This window comes from Homo sapiens, chromosome 6 (genome assembly GCF_000001405.40).
Source record: "Homo sapiens chromosome 6, GRCh38.p14 Primary Assembly".
In the NCBI taxonomy this organism is placed as follows: Eukaryota; Metazoa; Chordata; class Mammalia; order Primates; family Hominidae; genus Homo; species Homo sapiens.
Window position 1 is genome coordinate 121,270,745 of NC_000006.12, and position 26,182 is coordinate 121,296,926.

At 35.7% G+C, this 26,182-nt stretch overlaps 1 protein-coding gene across 25 annotated transcripts in view, besides 3 other annotated features; it reads right to left on the bottom strand.

Annotated features, from left to right (window-relative positions):
* The window catches only part of TBC1D32 (TBC1 domain family member 32), a 255,236-nt gene that overhangs the window by 191,251 nt on the left and 37,803 nt on the right, over positions 1–26,182 (bottom strand). For 23 of the 25 annotated variants that reach the window (NR_104452.2, XR_942346.3, XM_047418311.1 and 20 more), the window contains 5 exons: positions 23,826–23,916; positions 21,309–21,449; positions 13,074–13,166; positions 10,800–10,942; positions 8,377–8,501 (listed from right to left, as the gene is read on the bottom strand). Coding sequence is in view for 22 of the 25 variants with exons in the window: in XM_047418311.1 (XP_047274267.1) it covers positions 8,377–8,501; positions 10,800–10,942; positions 13,074–13,166; positions 21,309–21,449; positions 23,826–23,916 (593 nt within the window). In the remaining 3 variants the exon portion in view is untranslated. Of the gene's footprint in view, positions 1–8,376; positions 8,502–10,799; positions 10,943–13,073; positions 13,167–21,308; positions 21,450–23,825; positions 23,917–24,041; positions 24,096–26,182 lie in introns of those variants that run through there. The other 2 variants (XM_011535580.3, XM_017010404.1) reach the window with 2 other exon arrangements.
* Positions 12,957–13,126: an enhancer, noted in NCBI's record as "experimental_89060 CRE fragment used in MPRA reporter constructs". NCBI's record gives its function as "activates a minimal promoter by MPRAs in K562 erythroleukemia cells, with activity observed for both the introgressed and non-introgressed 6:121604932 variant alleles {active_cell/tissue: K562}" and the evidence as "EXISTENCE:reporter gene assay evidence [ECO:0000049][PMID:34662402]".
* Positions 20,257–20,426: an enhancer, noted in NCBI's record as "experimental_89073 CRE fragment used in MPRA reporter constructs". NCBI's record gives its function as "activates a minimal promoter by MPRAs in K562 erythroleukemia cells, with activity observed for the non-introgressed 6:121612232 variant allele {active_cell/tissue: K562}" and the evidence as "EXISTENCE:reporter gene assay evidence [ECO:0000049][PMID:34662402]".
* Positions 25,306–25,475: an enhancer, noted in NCBI's record as "experimental_89101 CRE fragment used in MPRA reporter constructs". NCBI's record gives its function as "activates a minimal promoter by MPRAs in K562 erythroleukemia cells, with activity observed for both the introgressed and non-introgressed 6:121617281 variant alleles {active_cell/tissue: K562}" and the evidence as "EXISTENCE:reporter gene assay evidence [ECO:0000049][PMID:34662402]".

The following is a 26,182-nucleotide window of genomic DNA, read 5'->3' on the forward strand; positions in this document are numbered from 1 at the left end:
TCTCTAACTCATTTTATGAGGCCAGCATCATCCTGATACTAAAGCCTGGCAGAAACACAACAAAAACAGGGAATTTTAGACCAATATTCCTGATGAACATCGATGCAAAAATCCTCAATAAAATACTGGCAAACCGAATCCAGCAGCACATCAAAAAGCTTATCCACCACAAACAAGTTGACTTCATCCCTGGGATGCAAGGCTGGTTCAACATATGCAAATCAATAAAGGTAATCCCTCATATAAACAGAACCAAAGACAAAAACCACATGATTATCTCAATAGATGCAGAAAAGGCCTTCAATAAAAATTCAACAGCCCTTCATGCTAAAAACTCTCAATAAACTAGGTATAGATGGGACGTATCTCAAAATAATAAGAGCTATTTATGACAAACCCACAGCCAATATCATATTGAATGGGCAAAAACTGGAAGCATTCCCTTTGAAAACTGGCACAAGACAGGGATGCCCTCTTTCACCACTCCTATTCAACAGAGTTTTGGAAGTTCTGGCCAGGGCAATCAGGCAGGAGAAAGAAATAAAGGGTATTCAATTAGGAAAAGAGGAAGTCAAATTGTCCCTGTTTGCAGATGACATGATTGTATATTTAGAAAACCCAATCGTCTTGGCCCAAAATCTCCTTAAGCTGATAAGCAACTTCAGCAAAGTCTCAGGATACAAAATCAACGTGTAAAAATCACAGGCATTCCTATACACCAATAACAGACAAACAGAGAGCCACATCCTGAGTGAACTCCCATTCACAATTGCTTCAAAGAGAATAAAATACCTAGGAATCCAACTTACAAGGGATGTGAAGGATCTCTTCAAGGAGAACTACAAACCACTGCTCAATGAAATAAAAGAGGACACAAACAAATGGAAGAACATTCCATGGTCATGGATAGGAAGAATCAATATCATGAAAATGGCCATACTGCCCAAGGTAATTTATATATTCAATGCCATCCCCATCAAGCTACCAATGACTTTCTTCACAGAATTGGATAAAACTACTTTAAAGTTCATATGGAATCAAAAAAGAGCCTGCATTGCCAAGACAATCCTAAGACAAAAGCTGGAGGCACCATGCCACCTGACTTCAAACTGTACTACAAGGCTACAGTAACCAAAACAGCATGGTACTGGTACCAAAACAGAGATATAGACCCATGGAACAGAACAGAGCCCTCAGAAATAATACCACACATCTACAACCATTTGATCTTTGAGAAACCTGACAAAAACAAGAAATGGGGAAACGATTCCCTATTTAATAAATGGTGCTGGGAAAACTGGCTAGCCATATATAGAAAGCTGAAACTGGATCCCTTCCTCACACCTTATACAAAAATTAATTCAAGATGGATTAAAGACTTAAATGTTAGACCTAAAACCATAAAAACCCTAGAAGAAAACCTAGGCATTACCATTCAGGACATAGACATGGGCAAGGACTTCATGACTAAAACACCAAAAGCAATGGCAACAAAAGCCAAAATTGACAAATGGGATCTAACTAAACTAAGGAGCTTCTGCACAGCAAAAGAAACTACCATCAGAGTGAACAGGCAACCTACAGAAAGGGAGAAACTTTTTACAATCTATCCATCTGACAAAGGGCTAATATCCAGAATCTACAAAGAACTCAAACAAATTTACAAGAAAAAAAACAAACAACCCCATCAAAAAGAGGGCAAAGGATATGAATAGACACTTATCAAAAGAAGACATTTATGCAGCCCACAGACACATGAAAAAATGCTCATCATCACCGGCCATCAGAGAAATGCAAATCAAAACCACAATGAGATACCATCTCACACCAGTTAGAATGGCGATCATTAAAAAGTCAGGAAACAACAGGTGCTGGAGAGGATGTGGAGAAATAGGAACACTTTTACACTGTTGGTGGGACTGTAAACTAGTTCAACCATTGTGGAAGACAGTGTGGCAATTCATCAAGGATCTAGAACTAGAAATACCATTTGACCCGGCCATCCCCTTACTGGGTATATACCCAAAGGATTATAAATCATGCTGCTGTAAAGACACATGCACACGTATGTTTACTGCAGTACTATTCACAATAGCAAAGACTTGGAACCAACCCAAATGTCCATCAATGATAGACTGGATGAAGAAAATGTGGCACATATACACCATGGAATACTACGCAGCCATAAAAACGGATGAGTTCATGTCCTTTGTAGGAACATGGATGAAACTGGAAACCATCATTCTGAGCAAACTATCACAAGGAGAAAAAACCAAACACTGCATGTTCTCACTCATAGGTGGGAATTGAACAATGAGAACTCTTGGACACAGGGTGGGGAACATCACACACCAGGGCTTGTTGTGGGGTGGGGTGCTAGGGGAGGGATAGTTTTAGGAGATATACCTAATGTAAATGACAAGTTAATGGGTGCAGCACACCAACATAGCACACGTATACATATGTAACAAACTTGCACGTTCTGCACATGTACCCTAGAACTTAAAGTATAATTAAAAAGAAAAGAAAATGTGGCACATATACACCATGGAATACTATGCAGCCATAAAAAAGTATGAGGTCATGTCCTTTGTAGGGACATGGATGAAGCTGGAAACCATCATTCTCAGCAAACTATCACAGGGACAGAAAACCAAACACTGCATGTTCTCACTCATAGGTGAGAACTGAACAATGAGAACACTTGGACACAGGGTGGGGAACATCACACACCGGGGCCTGTCGTGGGGTTGGGGGGGTTAGGGATAGCATTAAGAGATATACCTAATGTAAATGACGAGTTAATGGGTGCAGCACACCAACATGACACACATATACATATGTAAAAAACCTGCACATTGTGCACATGTACCCTAGAACTTAAAGTATAATTTAAAAAAAAAAAAAAAGCTGTTGAATCAAGTTTGGCCTAAAACTGTCTGCTTATGCATTTTAAGTTCAGCCTAAATGTTTCTCTGTACATAGTGAACTATAACCTTGATGGAAGTATAAACAGACTGTAACCTACTCTTGTGCCAATCACCACTGGCCAATTAAAGGGGGCCAACTGTTCAAACTGTGTTCAAATAATGCAAAACGGCAAGCTGTAACCAAAATGACTGTTTCTGTACCTCACTTCCATTTTCTGTGCATCATTTTCCTGTTTCTGTTCATAAATCTTCTTCCACCATGTGGCTGTGCTGGAGTTTCTCTGAGCCTACTCTGGTTGAGGAGGCTGCTTGATTCACAAAGTGTTCTTTGCTCAATTAAACTCTGTTAAATTAAAACAAAACAAAACAAAACAAAAAAGCCGGGCATGGTGGCTCATGCCTGTAATCCCAGCACTTTAGTAGGCCAAGGCGGGCAGATCATGAGGTCGGGAGGTGGAGACCAGCCTGGCCAATATAGTGAAACCCCATCTCTACTAAAAATACAAAAATGAGCCAGGCGTGGTGGCACACACCTATAGTCCCAGCTACTCGGGAGGCTGAGGCAAAAGAATTGCTTGAACCCAGGAGGCGGAGGTTGCAGTGAGCCAAGATCATGCGACTGCACTCCAGCCTGGGCGACAGAGTCATGAGACTCTGTCTCAAAAACAAACAAACAAACAACAACAAAAAAAAAACCCACACAACTTAAATGAAAAATTCAATTTCAACAGAAAGGCTAGAAAATGAAAGCAGAAAAAAATTCCCAGAAAAAAAGATTTTAAAAGGAATAGAAAATAGAACAGATAAGAATGTCCAAGTTCAAATAATAGAATTTCAGAAAAAAAAAAAGAAGAAATCCAACTATTTTCCCTAAAAGGCATGAATCTTCAAATTTACAATGTCCATCAATACATGTACAATTATTATGTGTCAATTTAAAAAGACACTCATCAAGTACATAAAAGTAGAACTTCATCAAGAAACATCATAACATTTTGGATAATTAAACACCAAAAAAAGACAAAAAAGACTTCTAGAAAAAGGAAAATGAAAAATAAGGCTACTCCATAATGATGACAAAATACATTTCAGCGTAAAAGTTATGCACAAAACTGAGGCAGAAACCCATTCTGAATAAAGTAGGTGGGAAGGCTCAAAAACAGATGTCTTTAATTAAACTCCTGGACTTTGGTATTTTAACATGCTGAGAGAGGATTTAGTCAATTAGAAAAAAACATGTAGATGGCTTAGCACTGCAGTGACAGCTAAGTACATTGAAAATTGTAGCAACAAACAAAAAAAAAGATTAACTCCAGAGAAGGCAAAAATTGTGAAAGAATAGAAAAGTAACAAAAGAATACCACATGGCTCAGCTGTGAAAAGTGTTCACAATGTGAATACAGTAAAACATTAAATAAGTCGATTGCACAACAGTATTGCACCGATGGAGAATGAAGGAACTAGGTACCTATATGTATTTGTATGTTTGGTGGGGAAAGCAGGCAAGAGAGATAAATTGTTGTAATGTAAGTCAATGAACAATTGACAATTTAGCCTTAAGCTAAAAGAAATTATATGCACATTACTTGATAATATAAACACTAAAGAAAACATCAAAAATAGCTGAAAGTAGTTGTCTCTAGAGAGCAAGAAAGGAACTGCTACTTTTTATAATAAACCTTTATGTTTCCTGTATGCATACATAACTCAATGAACAATAAATCAAGTTTTAAATGGACAAATGATATGGAAAGGAACATTACTATCAAGGAAATGGAAATAGCCAATAACCCTATTGCCACAGGAGCAATGAGATGCTCAAACTCAGTGAGATGACACATGAAATATGAATCAAATAAGTAAATATAAATCAAAACAAGATCTTTCATTCATTAGGTTGCCAAAACATTTACAAACTGATTATGCAGTCCTGACAAGAATATAAAAAGGAGGGGATACCTCGTACTTCCCATAGACTGCTGGCAAGAAGGTAAAATTCAACTATTTTGAAAAGTAATCTGGCAGGATCTACAAGATATAAAATGTACAGGCCCTCTGACCCAGCAATATCACTTTCAGGACTATCTTACTAAAATTAAAAAGACTAGCAATATAAAGCATTTGATAACCCATAAAATCTTTATTTTTCTTATTAATTAATCTAATGAGGCTGGGTGAGGTGGCTGACACCTGTAATCCCAGCACTTGGGGAAGCCAAGGCAGGCAGATCGCTTGAGCTCAGGAGTTCAAGACCAGTCTGGGAAACGTGGTGAAACCGTGTCTCTGCTAAAAAAATTAACCGGGCAAGGTGGTGCACACCTATAGGTCCCAGCTACTTGGGAGACTGAAGCACGAGAATCACTTGAGCCTGGGAGGCAGACATTGCAGTGAGCCGAGTTCACGCCACAGCACTCCAGCCTGGGCAACAGAGTGAGACCTTGTCTCAAAAAAAAAAAAAAAACAAACGACAATAACAAAAAAACATCTAACGGACAAGTTTATTCAAAGTAATTATTGCAAAAAAGTATTTGGTGATTATAGTTTATGAAAAAGTAAATGAGTAACAGAAACGATATAAGGGACAGAAGGGAGGAAATGACTTCTTATAAGGTCATTGCGCTAGATGTTAAGTGATACAGTGTTATTTGAAAGAGGACTAAATACAACTAAAACAATATAATTAGCAATTACAACTAATTCTGTTGTAAATGTATATTACAAACTTAATAGCAACCATTAAAAAGAGTGACAAAAAAGTATAATTGATATACTAAGAGAGGAGATAAAATGAAATCACATAGAACGCTCAATCAAAGCCAGATAAGGCAAAAAGAGTAGAACACAAAAAAAGGGCAAAAAATACAGTAAATATTAACCTAATTATATCAATAATTAATTGTTAATGTCATAAATACATCAATAAAAGACTATCAAAGTAGATTAAAAGTCAAGACCCAACTACATGTTGTCTATAAAAATCCCACTTTACACTTTAAACATAAAGACGAAGATAAATTAAAAGGAAAAGGATGGAGGAAAGACATACCATGCTAACTATAATCAAAAGAAAGCTGGAGTAGCTGTATTAGTTTCAGACAAAGCAGACTGCAAAGCAAGGAAAATTATCAAGGGTAAAAAGGAACATTAAATAACAATAAAGGGGTCAATTTTCCAAGAAGACATAACAATCCTTAATGTGTATGCACCTAACAACAAAGCATCAAAATACTTAAATGAAAAACTGATAGAACTGCAGGGAGAAATAGATGAATTCACTAATATAGCTGGAGCTTTCAACATACCTCTATCAGTAATTGACAGATTCAGCAGGATGTCAGTAAGGACAAAGTTGAACCAAACAGTACCATCAATCAGCTGAATATAATTGACATCCAACAATAGTAGAATATATATTATATAAGCTTACAGAGATAATTCACTAAGATGTCACTTTCTGGGCCATAAAACATAAAATACACTTTGAAAACTAGAAATTATATAAAGTGTGCTGTCAGATCTGTAAAAACACAAGGGTTGGGAGCAGTGGCTCATGCCTATAATCCCAGTACTTTGGGGGCCAAGGCAGGTGAATCACTTGAGGTCAGGAGTTCCAGACCAGCCTGGCCAGCATGGTGAAAGCCCATCTCTAACAAAAATACAAAAATTAGCCAGGCATGGTGGCATGCACCTGTAGTCCCAGCTACTTGGGAGGTTGAGGCACTAGAATCGCTTGAACCCAGAAGGTGGAGTTTGCAGTGAGCCAAGATTGTGCTATTGTACTCCAGCCTGGGCGACAGAGAAAGACTCCATCTCAAAAAAAAAAAAAAAAAAAAAAACCACAAGGGTCAAAGAAATCTCAAGAGAAAATAAAAATATTTTGAACTAAATGAAAAATGAAGATACAACTTATCAAAACTATGAGATGTAGGAAAGATGTGGTTTAGAGGGAAATTTATAGCATTAAGTACAAATATAAAAGCACAAATATTATAAAAAAAGAAAAGAGCTAAAACGAATCATGTAAGCTTCCACCATAGAAAACTAGGAAGAGAAAATTAAATCCAAAGTAAGAAGAAATAAAAAATTAGAAGAGAAATCAATAAAATTAAAAACATGAAATCAATAGAGAAAAATCAACAAAACCAGAAGTTAGTTTTTTGAAAAGAACAGTAAAATTTATAAGCCTCTAGTCAGGTTAACTAAGAAAAAAAAAAAGAGAAGACACAAATTACTAACATCAGAAGTGAAAGAGGAGCCATCACTACTCATTTCAATGATATTAACAGGATAAGGAAATATTATGAACAATTCTGTGCCCACAGATTTGATAATTTAGATAAATTCACCAATTCCTTGAAAGACATATTTTGCCAACATTCACATAAGAGCAAGTAGGCAATCTGAATAGGCCTCTGTTTATTAAATAAATTGAATGAATAACTAATAACCTTCCAAAATAGAAAACACCAGGCTAAAATTGGTTTGCTGGTGAATTTTATAAAATATTTTATGAAGAAATTAAACCAATTCTGTGTCATATCCTCCAGAAGATAGAAAGAATAACTTCTCATTTATTATAAGGTCACCATTCCAATAATACCAAAACCAGCCAAAGATTACATATTCTACAGACTGATATATCTCATGAACATAGAGGCAAAAATCCTCAATAAATATTAGCAAATGAAAGCCAACAAAGTGTAAGAATGATTTATATATCATGAACAAGTGGGATTTATTTCAGGTATGTAAAACTGGCTCAACATTTGAACATCAATTAATGTAATATCAACAAGCTAAATAAGAAAAAGAGCATTTATTGCAGTGTTATTTATGGAGAGAAAATTCCTAGACACAATCTGATGTTCACTAAGAGGGAAATGTTTGAATAAATTGTGGTACAGCTATACACAAAAGTGTAATGCAGACATTAAAAATCATGTTTCATTCTGTATTCACCTAAGAAAATTCCCATAGTTATAAAATAAATCAAGCTGCAGGGTAATGTATAAAATATAATACCATTTTTGTAAAGAGAAGATAAAATATGACTGTTTATATGTAGGTTTGTCTGATTATAAGCACAGAGAAAGTCTAGAAGTGTAAACACAAAAATATTACCATTGGTTAAGTGAGAAAATAGGAACTAGAGGAGGAAGAAAAAATAGCTAGCTTCTTTGCACAACTTTGGTTTGACTTAATCATGTGTGACAAAAGTCTGTAAGTGAAAATACAAGGGAGCAGATAATGGGGGAGTAAGGAAACCCATCGAGAGTGAACTCTCCTATTCTTATTTTGAAATTACAGACGTCAAGTTCTACTCTGGCTGCATAGTCCATAATCCTGGTTACTCCAGCTTTTTTAGATCATTTAATATATTATTAGCAGCTTGTCAGAAAACCAAACTATACCTGGAATAATTATCCGGATTTAAAATAGCACATACCTTTCTTCAGAAGAGTTCATATTTGCTCCATAAAGGAGTAAAATAAGCCCTTCTTCTACAGATGCAATTCTTGCCAAAATACCAGCTATATGAATTAAAGCTGTCTCAGAGCAATTTGGAGATGCCTGTACATTAAAAAGAAAACAAGACAAATCACATAATTTTATGACATGCTAACATATCACAGACTAAAATCCGAGGATTGTAAGTAGTCTTATAAAGTTATATTACAACAAAAAACAAGCTTAATGATTTGTTTGGCTGTGAAATAATATGTCTGAAAAAAATGTGTTATTAGATTATATTCTTTTACCAGCCCAACTGATGAAGCAAATAAATACAGATTTTTTTTCACCCAAACTATTGAGAATTGCTGCTCTTGTTACAGTTTTATATATAATTCTGGTTGGCAAATGTAGTAGCTCTTGTATTTCCACTTTGCCCTTTATTTCCCACCCACTGGGCTCCTGAGTATCCAATATAATTACATTATATATGGTATCTAACACACTGCCATCCCTTCTAAGGGTGTCATTCTCTTACACACATGTTTGCGTCATGAATGTACATCCAACTAGGGATAGCCAATTCATGGGCTGGTCAATAGGCAATAATGTCACCTAATAAGAAAACAAAGACTGAACTAACCATATTTGCTCACTTTTGCTTTCAAATGGAAGTACTAAAATACCTTTGCCAATATATTACAAAGCAGCACAAAGCACATACTGAAAACCAGAGAGCCATGTTAATGCTAGAGTGTATCTACAGTATTATAATTCCTGCTCTTTGTGGGGTCTGCTTATTTACCTGTACCTGCATGGATGCCAACACACATATTATCTATAATACATTTGAAAACGTAAATGTTGCAACCAACACATTCTAATAAATTTAGTGGGCTAGCCTAACTAATGATTAGTCAGGTATACTCACCTAAAGAAGTCCTAATTATTACTAATCATACTGTTTAGCATGAATAGCACTATTCATACTACTTAGCACAAAAAGTATATCACTTTTCCTATTAAATATCTTTCTTAAAACAACTTCTCTCCTTAGAATACATTCCTTCTTTCACGAGACTATATATATTCTCTCATGTCTATATAAATATAAACACAGTATTTTAAAACTTTCTATTCCTCATTTTAAATATTTTTTGTTTAAAGGTCTGTCTTGCCTATTACAGTAGGCTTCTTACAGGCAATAAACACGTATTATTCACTTCTATATTTGCAGTACCCAGCAGAGAGCTAATGATATAGTAGAGGTTCAATGGTTGATGCTGGATGTCTTAAACTAGATACTGAGTGTCCACTATGTGCCAGAGGGCTACTGTCAAGAATAAATAATTCAAACATAATGTAAGTACAACTGCAGAATTACATAACATGGGAACACAGAGAAAAAACCCACCTAACTTTGCAAAGGAGAACTGGGAGGAAATTTCAAAGATAAACTCTAGTCTAAAGGGGAATTTTTCATATGGACCAAGCGTAAAATTTTCTAGGGTGAAGAAAAACCATACAAACACAAGGAGATATAATAACCTTATTTAGAAAGTGCAAACTATCTATTATAACTGGACTATATAAGAAAGAAAGTAATTAGGGGACAGAAAACTTGGCATTTGCCAAGTTAACCTAGCAAGCAACAAGCAGAAAAGCATGTGACAGCCCATTGATGGGTGAACATAAGAGGAAGATGAAAACAGTAAAAACACCTCAAAATAGATATGAAAAAGCAAAAGCTTTTAACCTATTGATAAGCCTTAAAAATCACTGCCCAGAAGCTTAAGTCATACAAGTAGAGGGAGGTACTGAACAGACACCCAAACTAGTGACAATAGCAACTCTGCCACTTGTTAAATGTCTGACCTAAAGCAAGTCACTTATTTCAGCCTCAGTTGTGATTATTAAATTATATAATGTAAGGGAATATATTGTGCAAACTGTAAAGAGACATACATCTGTTCAAATTGGAATTCTATATAAGTGTTCTCTCTAAAGTAGTTCTTCTTAATATAAAACAGAGTTGGTTACTAAGGAAAATAATCACATTTCCAAAACCTATAACAATGCCATAAAACAAATAACAAAACATTTATGAGATTTATTAGATTTGCAAAACAAATAACTTCTTAATAGAATAACTTTTCTAAATTATTTGCATCAGCAGATCTAGTCCAATTAAAAAAAAACTTAGATATTCTATGTTCTTTCCCTCTGCATATCATAATAAATCAATCAACTGCATAAGCTATAATTTAATAATAAATAAAAATATATATCAACACAAAATACATTCATATATGGAAGGACAGCATAATAAAATATTTCAAATTTAGAAATAAAGTCCCACTGAGTATCCACTAATACCCAGGTAAGAGACTCTTTTTCTCCTTAGTAAATAATACGAACCTCATTTCCTTTCATTAAATTGTGAATAGGCTGAAGAAGTGTCTCTATTACAATGTTGTTATATAAGCATTCCACTGCACATTCTTTTTGATCACTGAGTATCCACAGAACTTCAGTCACCATACTTGCAGGAGAGTAATTCTCTAATAAACAATAAATATTTTTTAATACCAAAACATTAAATACTTAGAACTATTTTATGTTAGCTGTTGTTGTTCCAAAAAGTTCAACATCAAAGTTAATTCAGTACTTCAAAAGTCATACAACTCAATATCCAAAGGAAGATGTACTACCAAATTATAACCTGACTTAGGGGAATCTCAATTGGCTTAAAATAAAAAGTAAGCAAATGACAACAAACATGAATGCCAAAAGACGAGAATACAAAATTATTTACTGTCCAACATTAAATTACTGCTTAATATTAAAGATTTGGTCTGAAGCAAATGTACAGCTTTTTTCCTCCTAGAAAACATGTTTTTCTCCCTAGAATACACTTTTACCATACTCATATTTATTTTTTCTTAAATAATATACTCAAGTATTGAGCCTACAGGAAAATTACATTCAAACAAGAAAATGGGAAAAAGGAGGCAGAAGAGAATGGAAATTTCATAAACTTTTATAGACACTAGTATACTTCTTGTATTACCATAAAGCCAGTGAAAACAAAGATCATTTTTTAGATTTTCTTTCAAAATATAGTATATACAGGAAAACACAATACACAAAAGTTTAACATGGTTGGAATCATCACTGAATTAAATGATTTTCAGTTTCATAAATTGACAAATTTTCAGATATATAATCTAATATCCTCAAAACAATAGTTTTTAAGGTAAGATTGTCCTAGTAAGATACAACACTTTAGTATTTAGACACTGTATGTCTATGCATTATTGGTGTGTTTTATTATTAAGTGTTTTACTTTGGAAACTATTCTAACTTATGTTACAATATTCCATAGTCAATAAACACGCTGACTTCAGGTCAATATCTGACAAAAAGAAAATGGAAAAGGAAAGTTCAGTGATTTTTCAACCAGCTTCAAGTGAGAAACCCTGTTTACAAGGACAGATATTATTGATGAGCATATGGTCATTCTTTCACTCATCCAATCATCTTCTATTTATTAAGTGCCTAATACATACCAGACACTGTACTAGGAACTAACTATGAACAGAAAAGTAAATAAGACAAAAACAGTCCACATCATGGTAAACCAATATATAAACAAGTATTTAGAACAAAGAAAGATGATTTTAATCATAAAAGATGTCTATGCTGTAAGAGTGTATAGTCAGAAGACCTAAGCTAGTTCTTTATACATGTAAATGCTGTAAAGACAGAAAAAAGTCTGAGAACCACTGTGAAGATCAATAGGCTAATATAATTGCTTGGATAAAAACTATTAGTTTCATATTTTTTTAAATAGATTCAGAAGGTACATGTGTCAGCTTGTTACATGGATATACTGAATAATGGTGAGATTTGGGCTTCTGGTGTACCCGTCACCTGAACAGTGAACACTGTACTGAATAATAACCTACCAGTTGATAGATATGTTATAGCACTAATATACATCCCAAACCATTTTTTTCTTTGATTCACTTGAGTTCGTCTCAGAATTTGTGTCAGCAATTCTAGGGTTATTTCCTAGTTTTAGAACACTGTATGTCTATGCACACTGGTGTGTTTTATTATTAAGTGTTTTACTTTGGAAACTATTCTTGATACTCAAAGGAAAAATATAAGTTATTTAGAACATTTTTAAAAGCTAGTCAACAGCCATAAAACTAAAAGGCATTTTTCTGAAAAACATGAACGGTTTTTTCTTTATTCTTCAATAAAAGAAGACCCTGAAAAGATTGGAGTTTTGGATGTAAGCCAAAACAAGTGAGTTGATCAAAACATTTTAGAAAGTATAAAGAATGGAAAATAACAGGAAAAAAAAATCACATTATGACCTATCATCAAATATCCCCCAGTATCATGTCTTGAGAACATTTTGATCTTAATAAAGAACATCATTAAAATTCTCACTGATACTGATTCTAAATAAAAAGAGTAGTAGAGTGGAAACATCTTAAAACATCAGTGAACAAAATTAAATTTCATGGCTTACTTCAGGACCAATGTAATTTCTCTTAATACTGTATCTTAATGAAACCTACTTACCAAAGTAGGTCAGGCACTCAAAACATCTAGACAATAGAATACTTAAATATTTTTAGATGTTTTATATTTCTCTATTTAAAATAGAAACAGAATTACCTGAATGGGCAGCTGATGTCATCTTTGGACAACTTGGTGAGTAATAGATAAGTTGGGTAAAAAGAACAAGCAGATCTATGAGGGATACCAAACCTTTAAAAAGAAAATAAAGAGAAAATTAATTTCTAGCATATTCTTTCAACTTAAGAGAAATTTAACTGAGCTTTCATCCATCTATATAGTTGAGGTTTTGTACAGACTACGAGGCAATCAGGAAGAAGGGAGCTATAATCTCAGATAGAAGACTCCATAACAAATTACATACAAATTAAAACACGGCAAGGCAAGCAATGCTGTAGGTGCTATGTAAAGGTACAGTTTTACCACTTATTTCGAACCAATCACTTAAGATAAACCTATGCTAGGAAGATGTATGAATCTGATTAAGGCTATTTGAGTTTATTCAATTAGGAGTAGTAAAATTCAGCTTACCAAGTTGGTCCAGCTAACTTATCTACACAAAACTGTAGAACAGGGCTTAGCAAACTTTCTCTTTAAAGGACTCCAGAGTAAATATTTTAGATTTTGTGGCCAAATGGTCTCTGTCACAAATACTCAAGTCTGCCATGGTAGCACTAAGTATATGTAGATGATATGCAAATGAATGAGTATGGCTATTTTCCAATAAAACTTTGTGTGCACTAAAATTTAATGTATATTTCTTACATATCACAAAACACCCTTTTCTGAACAATTTAAAAAGATAAAAACCATTCTTAGCTCACAACTGTACAAACAAGATAGTGGACCAAATGTGGCCCATAGACAAAATTTATCAACTCTTGCTATAGAGGCTTACATTAAAAGAGTCTGGTGAAATCACATGTGAAACTTAAAGGTGAAAGTTGACCTATGCTAATATAGTAGAATAAACCACTACAAACTCAATTTTCAGGTGGTCTATAATATCTGGTAGGCCAAAATGTAGATGTTAAAAGTCAATATAAAATGATAAATAAATTATAGACATATAAATGTAAGCTGAATACTGCATCAACATCACAAGTATACATTAGTATATTTCTGTAAAGTTCAACAGTATCCTATAAAATAATAGCTTTTTTATTAAAAGTCAATTACCTACTGAGTGCTCATTATGCATAGAATTATGTGGCACTACCATGGGAACTACAAGAGATGTATATAAGGCAATGTCTTTTCTCAAGGAGCTCACAATCAATGAGAAGAAAAGATTTAGAGAAATAAAAAAGCTACAAAACAGTATAAAAGAGTATTCAAAATAAATATACTGTGTAACGGGGTCAGCAAACTATAGCCATTGTGGGCTGATTTCATAAGGCTCACAAGATAAGAATGGATTTCACATTTTTTAAATGTGTCAGAGGTCCACAAAACCATGCCCAGATTCAATGATTCACTAAGAAGACTCAGAGGATTCAACATGTAACTGTATTCACAGCTATGATTTATTATAACAAAAGGATACAAAGCAAAATCAAAGGGCAAAAGTGCATGGGTTGAAGTCCAGAGCTAACCAGTATAAACTTCTAAGTGTCCTCTCCTGGTTGAGTCATACAGAATACATTTAATTATTTCAGCAGCAAGTTATGACAACACATGTGAAATGTCATCTACCAGGAAAATTCATTAGAGACCCAGTCCCTTAGGTTTTTGGGGGATCTAAGCATGTAACCACACTCTACCTAGCACATGCCAAAATTTTAAACTCCCAAAAGAAAACCAGGTACGAGGGGTGGAGCCAAGATGGCCAAATAGGAACAGCTCCAGTCTACAGCTCCCAGCGTGAGCGACGCAGAAGACGGGTGATTTCTGCATTTCCAACTGAGCCTTGAAGAGAGTAATGGTTCTCCCAGCAAGCAGCTGGACATCTGAGAACTGACAGACTGCCTCCTCAAGTGGGTCCCTGACCCCCGAGTAGCCTAACTGGGAGGCACCCCCCAGTAGGGGCAGACTGACACCTCACACGGCCAGGTACTCCTCTGAGACAAAACTTCCAAAGGAACAATCAGGCAGCAACATCTGCTGTTCACCAATATCCGCTGTTCTGCAGCCTCTGCTGCTGATACCCAGGCAAACAGGGTCTGGAGTGGACCTCCAGCAAACTACAACAGACCTGTAGCTGAGGGTCCTGACTGTTAAAAGGAAAACTAACAAACAGAAAGAACATCCACACCAAAACCCCATCTATACGTCACCATCATCAAAGACCAAAGGTAGATAAAACCACAAAGATGGGGAAAAAACAGAGGAGAAAAACTGGAAACTCTAAAAATCAGAGCGCCTCTCCTCCTCCAAAGGAACGCAGCTCCTAACCAGCAACGGAACAAAGCTGGATGGAGAATGACTTTGACGAGTTGAGAGAGGAAGCCTTCAGAAGATCAAACTACTCCAAACTAAAGGAGGAAGTTCGAACCCATGGCAAAGAAGTTGAAAACCTTGAAAAAAAATTGGATAAATGGCTAACTAGAACAACCAATGCAGAGAAGTCCTTAAAGGACCTGATGGAGCTGAAAACCAATGCACGAGAACTACGTGACGAATGCACAAGCCTCAGTAGCCGATTTGATCAACTGGAAGAAACGGTATCAGTGATGGAAGATGAAATGAATGAAATGAAGCGAGAAGAGAAGTTTAGAGAAAAAAGAATAAAAAGAAATGAACAAAGCCTCCAAGAAATATGGGACTATATGAATGGGACTATATGAAAAGACCAAATCTACGTCTGATTGGTGTACCTGAAAGTGATGGGGAGAATGGAACCAAGTTGGAAAACACTCTACAGGATATTATCCAGGAGAACTTCCCCAACCTAGCAAGGCAGGCCAACATTCAAATTCAGGAAATACAGAGAACGCCACAAAGATATTCCTCGAGAAGAGCAACTCCAAGACACATAATTGTCAGATTCACCAAAGTTCAAATGAAGGAAAAAATGTAAAGGGCAGCCAGAGAGAAAGGTCGGGTTACGCACAAAGGGAAGCCCATCAGACTAACAGTTGATCTCTCAGCAGAAACTCTACAAGCCAGAAGAGAGTGGGGGCCAATATTCAACATTCTTAAAGAAAATAATTTTCAACCCAGAATTTCATATCCAGCCAAACTAAGCTTCAAAAGTGAAGGAGAAATAAAATTCTTTACAGACAAGCAAATGCTGAGAGATTTTGTCACCACCAGGCCTGCCCTAAAAGAGCTCCTGAAGGAAGCACTAAACATGGAAAGGAACAACCGGTACCAGCCACTGCAAAAACATGCCAAATTGTAGAGACCATCAAGGCTAGGAAGAAACTGCATCAACTAACAAGCAAAATAACCAGCTAACATCATAATGACAGGATCAAATTCACACATAACAATATTAACCTTAAATGTAAATGGGCTAAATGCTCCAATTAAAAGACACGGAGTAGCAAATTAGATAAGGAGTCAAGGCCCATCAGTGTGCTGTATTCAAGAAACCCACCTAACGTACAGAGAAACACATAGGCTGAAAATAAAAGGATGAAGGAAGATCTACCAAGCAAATGGAAAACAAAAAAAGGCAGGGGTTGCAATCCTAGTCTCTAATAAAACAGACTTTAAACCAACAAAGATTAGAAGAGACAAAAAAGGCCATTACATAATGGTAAAGGGATCAATTCAACAAGAAGAGCTAACTATCCTAAATATATATGCACCCAATACAGGAGCACCCAGATTCATAAAGAAAGTCCTTAGAGACCTACAAAGAGACTTACACTCCCACACAATAATAATGGGAGACTTTAACACCCCACTGTCAACATTAGATGGATCAACAAGACGGAAAGTTAACAAGGATATCCAGGAATTGAACTCAGCTCTGCACCAAGCAGACCTAATAGACATCTACAGAACTCTCCACCCCAAATCAACAGAATATACATTCTTCCCAACACCACACCGCACTTATTCCAAATTGACCACATAGTTGGAAGTAAAGTACTCTTCAGCAAATGTAAAAGAACAGAAATTATAACAAACTGTCTCTCAGACCACAGTGCAATCAAACTAGAACTCAGGATTAGGAAACTCACTCAAAACCGCTCATCTATATGGAAACTGAACAACCTGCTCCTGAACGACTACTGGGTACATAACAAAATGAAGGCAGAAATAAAGATGTTCTTTGAAACCAATGAGAACAAAGACACAACATACCAGAATCTCTGGGACACATTCAAAACAGTGTGTAGAGGGAAATTTATAGCTCTAAATGCCCACAAGAGAAATCAGGAAAGATCTAAAATTGACACCCTAACATCACAATTAAAAGAACTAGAGAAGCAAGAGCAAACACATTCAAAAGCTAGCAGAAGGCAAGAAATAACTAAGACCAGGGCAGAACTGAAGGAAATAAAGACACAAAAAACTCTTCAAAAAATCAATGAATCCAGGAGCTGGTTTTTTGAAAAGATCAACAAAATTGATAAACTGCTAACAAGACTAATAAAGAAGAAAAGAGAGAAGAATCAAATAGACGCAATAAAAAATGATAAAGGGGATATCAACACCGATCCCACAGAAATACAAACTACCATCAGAGAATACTATAAACACCTCTACACAAATAAACTAGAAAATCTAGAAGAAATAGATAAATTCCTCAACACATACACCCTCCCAAGACTAAATCAGGAAGAAGTTGAATCTCTGAATAGACCAATAACAGGCTCTGAAATTCAGGCAATAATTAATACCTTGCCAACCAAAAAAAGTCCAGGACCAGATGGATTCACAGCCGAATTCTACCAGAGGTACAAGGAGGAGCTGGTACCATTCCTTCTAAAACTATTCCAATCAATAGAAAAAGAGGGAATCCTCTCTAACTCATTTTATGAGGCCAGCATCATCCTGATACCAAAGCCTGGCAGAGACACAACAAAAAAAGAGAATTTTAGACCAATATCCCACATGAACATCGATGCAAAAATCCTCAATAAAATACTGGCAAACCAAATCCAGCAGCACATCAAAAAGCTTATCCACCACAATCAAGTGGGCTTCATCCCTGGGATGCAAGGCTGGTTCAACATACACAAATCAATAAACGTAATCCAGCATATAAACAGAACCAACGACAAAAACCATATGATTATCTCAATAGATGCAGAAAAGGCCTTTGACAAAATTCAACAGCCCTTCATGCTAAAAACTCTCAATAAATTAGGTATTGATGGGACGTATCTCAAAATAATAAGAGCTATCTATGACAAACCTACAGCCAATATCATACTGAATGGGCAAAAACTGGAAGCATTCCTTTTCAAAACTGGCACAAGACAAGGATGCCCTCTCTCACCACTCCTATTCAACAATAGTGTTGGAAGTTCTGGCAAGGGCAATCAGGCAAGGGAAAGAAATAAAGGGTATTCAATTAGGAAAAGAGGAAGGCAAATTGTCCCTGTTTGCAGAAGACATGATTGTATATCTAGAAAACCCCATCATCTCAGCCCAGAATCTCCTTAAGCTGATAGGCAACTTCAGCAAAGTCTCAGGATACAAAATCAATGTACAAAAATCACAGGCATTCCTATACACCAATAACAGACAAACAGCCAAATCATGAGTGAACTCCCATTCACAATTGCTTCAAAGGGAATAAAATACCTAGGAATCCAACTTACGAGGGACGTGAAGGACCTCCTCAAGGAGAACTACAAACCACTGCTCAATGAAATAAAAGATACAAACAAATGGAAGAACATTCCATGCTCATGGGTAGGAAGAATCAATATCGTGACAATGGCCATACTGCCCAAGGCAATTTATAGATTCAATCCCATCCCCATTAAGCTACCAATGACTTTCCTCACAGAATTGGAAAAAACTACTTTAAAGTTCATATGGAACCAAAAAAGAGCCCGCATTGCCAAGTCAATCCTAAGCCAAAAGAACAAAGCTGGAGGCATCAGGCTACCTGACTTCAAACTATACTACAAGGCTACAGTAACCAAAACAGCATGGTACTGGTACCAAAACAGAGATATAGACCAATGGAACAGAACAGAGCCCTCAGAAATAATGCCGCATATCTACAACCATCTGATCTTTGCCAAACCTGACAAAAACAAGAAATGGGGAAACGATTCCCTATTCAATAAATGGTGCTGGGAAAACTGGATAGACATATGTAGAAAGCTGAAACTGGATCCCTTCCTTACACCTTATACAAAAATTAATTCAAGGTGGATTAAAGACTTAAATATTAGACCTAAAACCATAAAAACCCTAGAAGAAAACCTAGGCAATACCATTCAGGACATAGGCATGGACAAGGACTTCATGTCTAAAACACCAAAAGCAATGGCAACAAAAGACAAAATTGACAAATGGGATCTAATTAAGCTAAAGAGCTTCTGCACAGCAAAAGAAACTACCATCAGAGTCAATGGGCAACCTACAGAATGGGAGAAAAGTTTTGCAATCTATTCATCTGACAAAGGGCTAATATCCAGAATCCACAATGAACTCAAACAAATTTACAAGAAAAAAACAAACAACCCCATCAACAAGTGGGCAAAGGATATAAACAGACACTTCTCAAAAGAAGACATTTATGCAGCCAAAAGACACATGAAAAAATGCTCATCATCACTGGCCATCAGAGAAATGCAAATCAAAACCACAATGAGATACCATCTCACACCAGTTAGAATGGCGATCATTAAAAAGTCAGGAAACAACAGGTGCTGGAGAGGATGTGGAGAAATAGGAACACTTTTACACTGTTGGTGGGACTGTGAACTAGTTCAACCATTGTGGAAGTCAGTGTGGCGATTCCTCAGGGATCGTGAACTAGAAATACCATTTGACCCAGCAGTCCCATTACTGGGTATATACCCAAAGGATTATAAATCATGCTGCTATAAAGACACATGCACACATATGTTTATTGCGGCACTATTCACAATAGCAAAGACTTGGAACCAACCCAAATGTCCAACAATGATAGACTGGATTAAGAAAATGTGGCACACATACACCATGGAATACTATGCAGCCATAAAAAATGATGAGTTCATGTCTTTTGTAGGGACACAGATGAAGCTAGAAACCATCATTCTCTGCAAACTATCTCAAGGACAAAAAAACCAAACACCACATGTTCTCACTCATAGGTGGGAATTGAACAATGAGAACACATGGACACAGGAAGGGGAGCATCACACTGGGGCCTGTTGTGGGGTTGGGGGAGGGTGGATGGATAGCATTAGGAGATATACCTAATGTTAAATGACGAGTTAATGGGTGCAGTTTACCAACATGGCACATGTATACATATGTAACTAACCTGCACGTTGTGCACATGTACCCTAAAACTTAAAGTATAATAAAAAAAAAAAGAAAGAAAGAAAACCAGGTACTCCACATAAATCACACTGTACAGTTTAGGCGGTGATCAGTGCACAGTTGAGGCACTCATCAGTTCTAGGAACAATAGGAAATCTAAGTTCCTAGGTCCCAGCCAAGGTCCAACCTTGCAAGCTGGCCTTTCTAAGGATAGTTGTTTCAGGCCTGCTACATTAATTCTTTTTTGTACACACACAGAGAGAATATACAAAAGCAGTATGTGGTCAAAACAGCCCAAAATATTTACTATGTGGTGCTTTACAAAAAAAAACAAAAAAACAAAAAACAGTTTGCTGTTCCCTGCCATATACTATATTCTTAGTTATCATTTTTACTTCCCTTAAGAGTTTAAGTATATACTAACAGCATGTGCTGAAGTTTGATGGGGAAAAAGTAAATGAGACTTAGGGTAAAAATTATATGGTAATATACAAAATGACACAGGGCTTTGCAGTTTATAAAACAGTATTTGCAACCTCATTTCTCTGTAATCACAAAAATTCTGTAACTTAAATATTACCAATTTCACTATTCAATTTTTACAGATAAAGAAATGGAAACAACAAAGGTTAAGTGATTTTCCCAAAAGATCACTGCTAGTTTATAATGGAATGAGAACTTAAACAAGGTCTTCTAGCTCTAAATCTATATCTGGATCCCTAAAGGCTGAAGGAATAATAATAAAAAAAAAATACATGTAGAAAGAAGCACATACTGAAAACTAAAAGAAAACAAATACTTCAAAGTGTATAAGCTATCAATAGACTAAAAGGTATGTAGCTAAGTACCGTAGAAAGGAACATGCCAAATTTCCAAGTTTGAATACTCCACCATATATAAATCTTAGCATATCTTAACAAATTTATTTCTCCTAATTGTACTTACCTTTTTTATTCTTCAGCTTAATAGGAAATAGTTTTCTGCCTTGTTTATAGATCAATAATCTTCCTAAAAGGCACAGTGAGTGAATGAAATAAATATATTGTAATTCTTGTCCTAAGTAGTAGAAAGTTTTCTGCTTGTTTCCTTAAAAGAGAAGCAAACACGAATATTTATTTAGTATCATTATATTTTACAGTACCTGTCTTCATTCCCTTCTAGACATTAAACAAGGCTACAGGCTAGAATGGAGACATTACTGGTCAAAAATTTTTTAATTATTTGTTTTCCTTATTGTTTCCTAAGATCCTTTACAATAAATCCCCAAAGAAAAGCAATCATCTTAAAAAGCAGCCTCAGAAAAGAATAGTATACATATAGTGTCCATTCTAAAATAAATACCATAAGACTGCCAGAGTTATCTGCCACTGAAGAGGAACTTCAAAAGTAAGTTAAGGGCAGAAGAAAGTTAATAGAAAATGTTAGTTACTGTTTAATTCCACCAATTAAAAGCCAGTATTACAAAAGATCATATTAACAAGCACGTCTAAGTGAAATTAGAATCTCTACAATATAGACATCTCCCAATATGTATTTGTCATTCACATATATATACACAGAAGATAACAGAATTAAGACACCAATCTAAAACAAAACATCTCTTCTTTGCAGGCTAAGAAAAGGAAATATTGATTAGGGCGCATATGTATTTGCATACAAAGAAGCAAGACACTTAGAGAATTCACATCAGCAAAGTTCTATTTTTCTTAGTGAAAGAGTAAGCAAGGGCTCCTCCTCCTGAGAGAGAACTGGGCAGGAGCAAAGCAGAAGGTTCGACGAGACTGACAAGGGCTTGTAATAGCTGTTACGGAACGCTGAAGAAAGAACATCTAGGAGGATTCCAAAGCAACAGAGAGAGAGCAGCTGAAGCTAGAAAATATATATTTACTCTCAAGCCATGTCATATACTCTCTGCTCAATTTCTTGAGTACCAGAAAAGATAGAGAATTGAATTGACCTAAAGTTGGGCAACTGCAGGCAGAAAACTCTGAAAGAGAAATGAGCAAGAATTTTTTTAAAAACATGGCAAAAAAAAAAAATGTAATGAAGCACCCTGAGGTCTTTAGTAGATAGAGAAGAGAGCAAAACCATGAAGGACTAAGAAAGTAATGAGGGGAAAGGAGCTAAATATTACATTTTAATATCAAGAAATTAGAAAAATCTGTAAGTTTGTAAATGAGATAACATATGAACTTATATGTCCTTTTCCTTCTCTTGAAGAATAAATTATAACTTCTACACTTTCTCCTCCCCTACAAAACACTAGCTTTTGAAACCCATTAATTATTGGTCTATCACCATCTCCCTTGCTTTGAGTTAGATAAAGAAATTCACCTGAGAATGAAGAAAAGTATAAGATATCGTCATACTCTCAAAAGAGCTTACTATATGCTTAAGGAAACAATATAAAAACAACAGAACAATAAAAGCTATCAGGTTCACATGGCCAATTGTGTGATATAAGCAAGAGCAAGAAAAATTCAGAATAAGCAGGGAGGCCTTGAAATTTAAAATACAGTTTCTGCAGGGCGCGGTGGCTCATGCCTGTAATCCCAGTGCTTTGGGAGGCCAAGGTGGGTGGATCACAACGTCAGGAGTTCAAGAGCAGCCTGGCCAGCACAGTGAAACCCCATCTCTACTAAAAATACAAAAACTTAGCCAGATGTGGTGGCAGGCACCTGTACTCCCAGCTACTTGGGAGGCTGAGGCAGGAGAGTCGCTTGAACCCAGGAGGCAGAGGTTGCAGTGAGTCCAGATCATGCCACTGCATTCCAGCCTGGGTGATACAGCGAGACTCTGTCTAAAAAAATAAATAAATAAAATACAGTTTCTTCTTTCATGATAAATAAGATATCTATTAGTGTAGGGAATTACAGATGGGGCAGTAGGAGTAAAAATAATGTTGTATAGGCATTGGAATGCAAAAAAAAGACTAAGAGAAGATTCATTTTAGTCAATAACTACAGAAGAGATTGTATCAAGAAATTGGGGCCAGATTACGAAGCATCCAAGACATTTTAGCTCAGACACAGAATAAGCAAAGAAGGATCACGGGGTGACACAGGGTGTTCAAAAATAAAAACAACATTTTATGGAAGTTTTTTTCCCATTAAAGTGCATATATGCCTGATTAGATGACTGATACATTATTGAAGGGGAAAGGATGGACTGTATATTGTTGTAATATAACAGATTAGGATACATGCCCTAGTATGAATCAAAGAACTGCATCTAATAAGAATCAGTATGGTTGTACATTAATTTCAAATGTAGATCTGTTATAAAAAATAATGATTATAGTGTATCTTATAAATGTGTAAAATATATTTTACAGCATCATTAGTAAAAGTGACCTAATTTACCATACTAACAATCATTAAAAAATAAAAGTTCCTACTAAACTGTATTTACTAATAAAATTTACCATTTTTAAAAGTATGTAATAGAGGAAATAATACTTACTGCAATGCTTTGAATGTCCCAAAGTTTCATCAGCTTTCCTAGTCTTACACATTTCAAAGTACTGAACACACTGTTGAATGGCTGTAGTTACCTGATGAAATAATAAGTTATTAATTCCAGAACTTTGCAGCCCTCAAGTCCAAGAATTAAAAGAAATTAGTCAAAGCTGTAAAAATACTTTGGAGAAATATTTGAGAAAAATATTTAGTACAGTACCTTTCTAGCCCTTAAAGCTCAGCCTCCTCAATTACATTTTAACTATGGCATCACTCTGGTGAACACTGTGAAAATATTTGTGGACCAACAAATATGATAATGTTATAATGTTGGTGTCATTGGACAGAAATAAATATGTAATTTATATTTTATAGTGAAAAACGCAAAAACTCTGTGGCCATTGCCATAACTTTAGAAACTATCTTGTCCAGTTCCTTTGCCTTAGAATCTTTTCCTCCTACCCAGCTAGCAAAATATCAAGTGGATCAAGTCTTTATTTCCATCTCAAATACCAGAAATGCTAAAAACTGATAAAAGAAAATTCTCATAATTCAAAGAAAAGAGTCACAATAAAAAATGATCTCCAACCCCTACTGTACTCAGTGATTCTCCTATTAGTCTCCATTCTAACTCCTCCTCTCATTCTCCACAAGCAGAGACTTCAAACCTTCTCCCCTTTCCTCAGCACCTGCCTACCCATCGATGGCCTCTTATCCTAATTCCAAAAAAAAAAAAAAAAAAGCCACCAGTGATATACGGTGTGATAATTATTAAATCTGGTAACAAGGCAGTTGTTGGTGACCTTGAAAAGATCACTTTCAGAGGAGTTTGGTGAATAAAGCCAGACTATACCAAATAAAGGAATAGGAAGTGAAAAAGTAAAGGCAGTTAGCATAATTTTTATTTTCAGGAAAGACAGCTGAGAAAAATTTAAAAAATAGACCAGCAACTGTATCTTAGAGTCAAGATTAAACTCTTTTTCAGCTAAGAAGGATATGGTTATGCTTAAATGTTACTGGGGGAAGCCAACAGAGGGGAAGAGTTTGACTATATAGGAGAGAAAGGGGATAGTTGATAGAAAAAAAAAATACACAAGAGGAAGAAGCAGATGGAATCCAAGTGGAAGGAATGATTAATTAAGCTTTAGATAGGAAAAAAATAAAGGTTTGAAAAGAAGCAAGTTCATAATTGTAGCGCCAAGGAATCAATGGATTTTCCCATCTCATTCTTTCTTATGGCCTCAGTTGTATGCAGAAAAGAGGTAACATGGCAGGACTTCTGTCTTTAGAAAGGCCTCCTTACAAGGTGGGATTTTGATAGCATCTAGGAACTTGGATTTCAGGAGGGCTCTCATCATTCTGAGAACTGAGAATGGCTGACAATGTTTGCACAAATAATGTGGTTTATGAGGAATACCTGCTTTCCTTCTAGGAGTCTTGGACCCTGGTATGTACCAGGCAGAGGGTTTCTATGTGAACAGCACCCCCACCTCAAAAACAAAAACCAGGCACTGAGTTTCTAATGAGCTTCCCTGGTATATAACATTTCACATAAGTTGCCACAATTCAATGCTGAAAGAGTTAAGCATGTCTTATGTGATTCTAGTGGGAAAAAGACTCTTGGAAGCTTATACTTTCATATCTTCCATACTTCACTCAATGAACTTTTTCCTTTTTGCTGATTTTTCTTTGTATCCTTTCATTGTTATAAATGACAGCTGAGAGCATAACTATATGCTGAATCCTACGAATCCTTCTAGCAAATCATCAAACCTGGGGGGTTGTCTTGGGGACCCTCCCCCTCCCATATCTACCTGTCTTTTCTAAATCAAACGTCAGGGATCCAGACCCATGCCTCCTAGAAATCTGCATTTCAAATATGATTAAACCTACCAAATCTAAAAATCATTATCTTTTCCAGCAAATGTTTGCCTCCTACTGTGTTACTTATCTCAATGAATGACATTAGTCAATTGTCTGAGGCCTCAATCACAACCCCCTCATTCAAAAGTCCTCTAAATCCTACATTCTAAATAAAGTATTTTGAGTCCATCCATTTATCCCAATTCTGTCTTATCCTTCTTCCATGGTTCCATCATCTTTTGCTTGCACTATTATACAATGTCTTAAACATCGTTTTGCTTCAATACTTCTCCTTTGACCCATTTTCTAACAAAAAACAAAACAAAACAAAGTGGATTAAAATAACAACTGACACTTTAGGAAACTTTTGACATGAAAAATTTATAAAATAATACACTTAAGAGAAGCTCTTAAGAATTAGAAGACAAAAGAACAAACAATAGTCCGCTTCTTTAACTGAAAACTCAAAACACTGTCTCCAAAATAATCTCTCTCAAA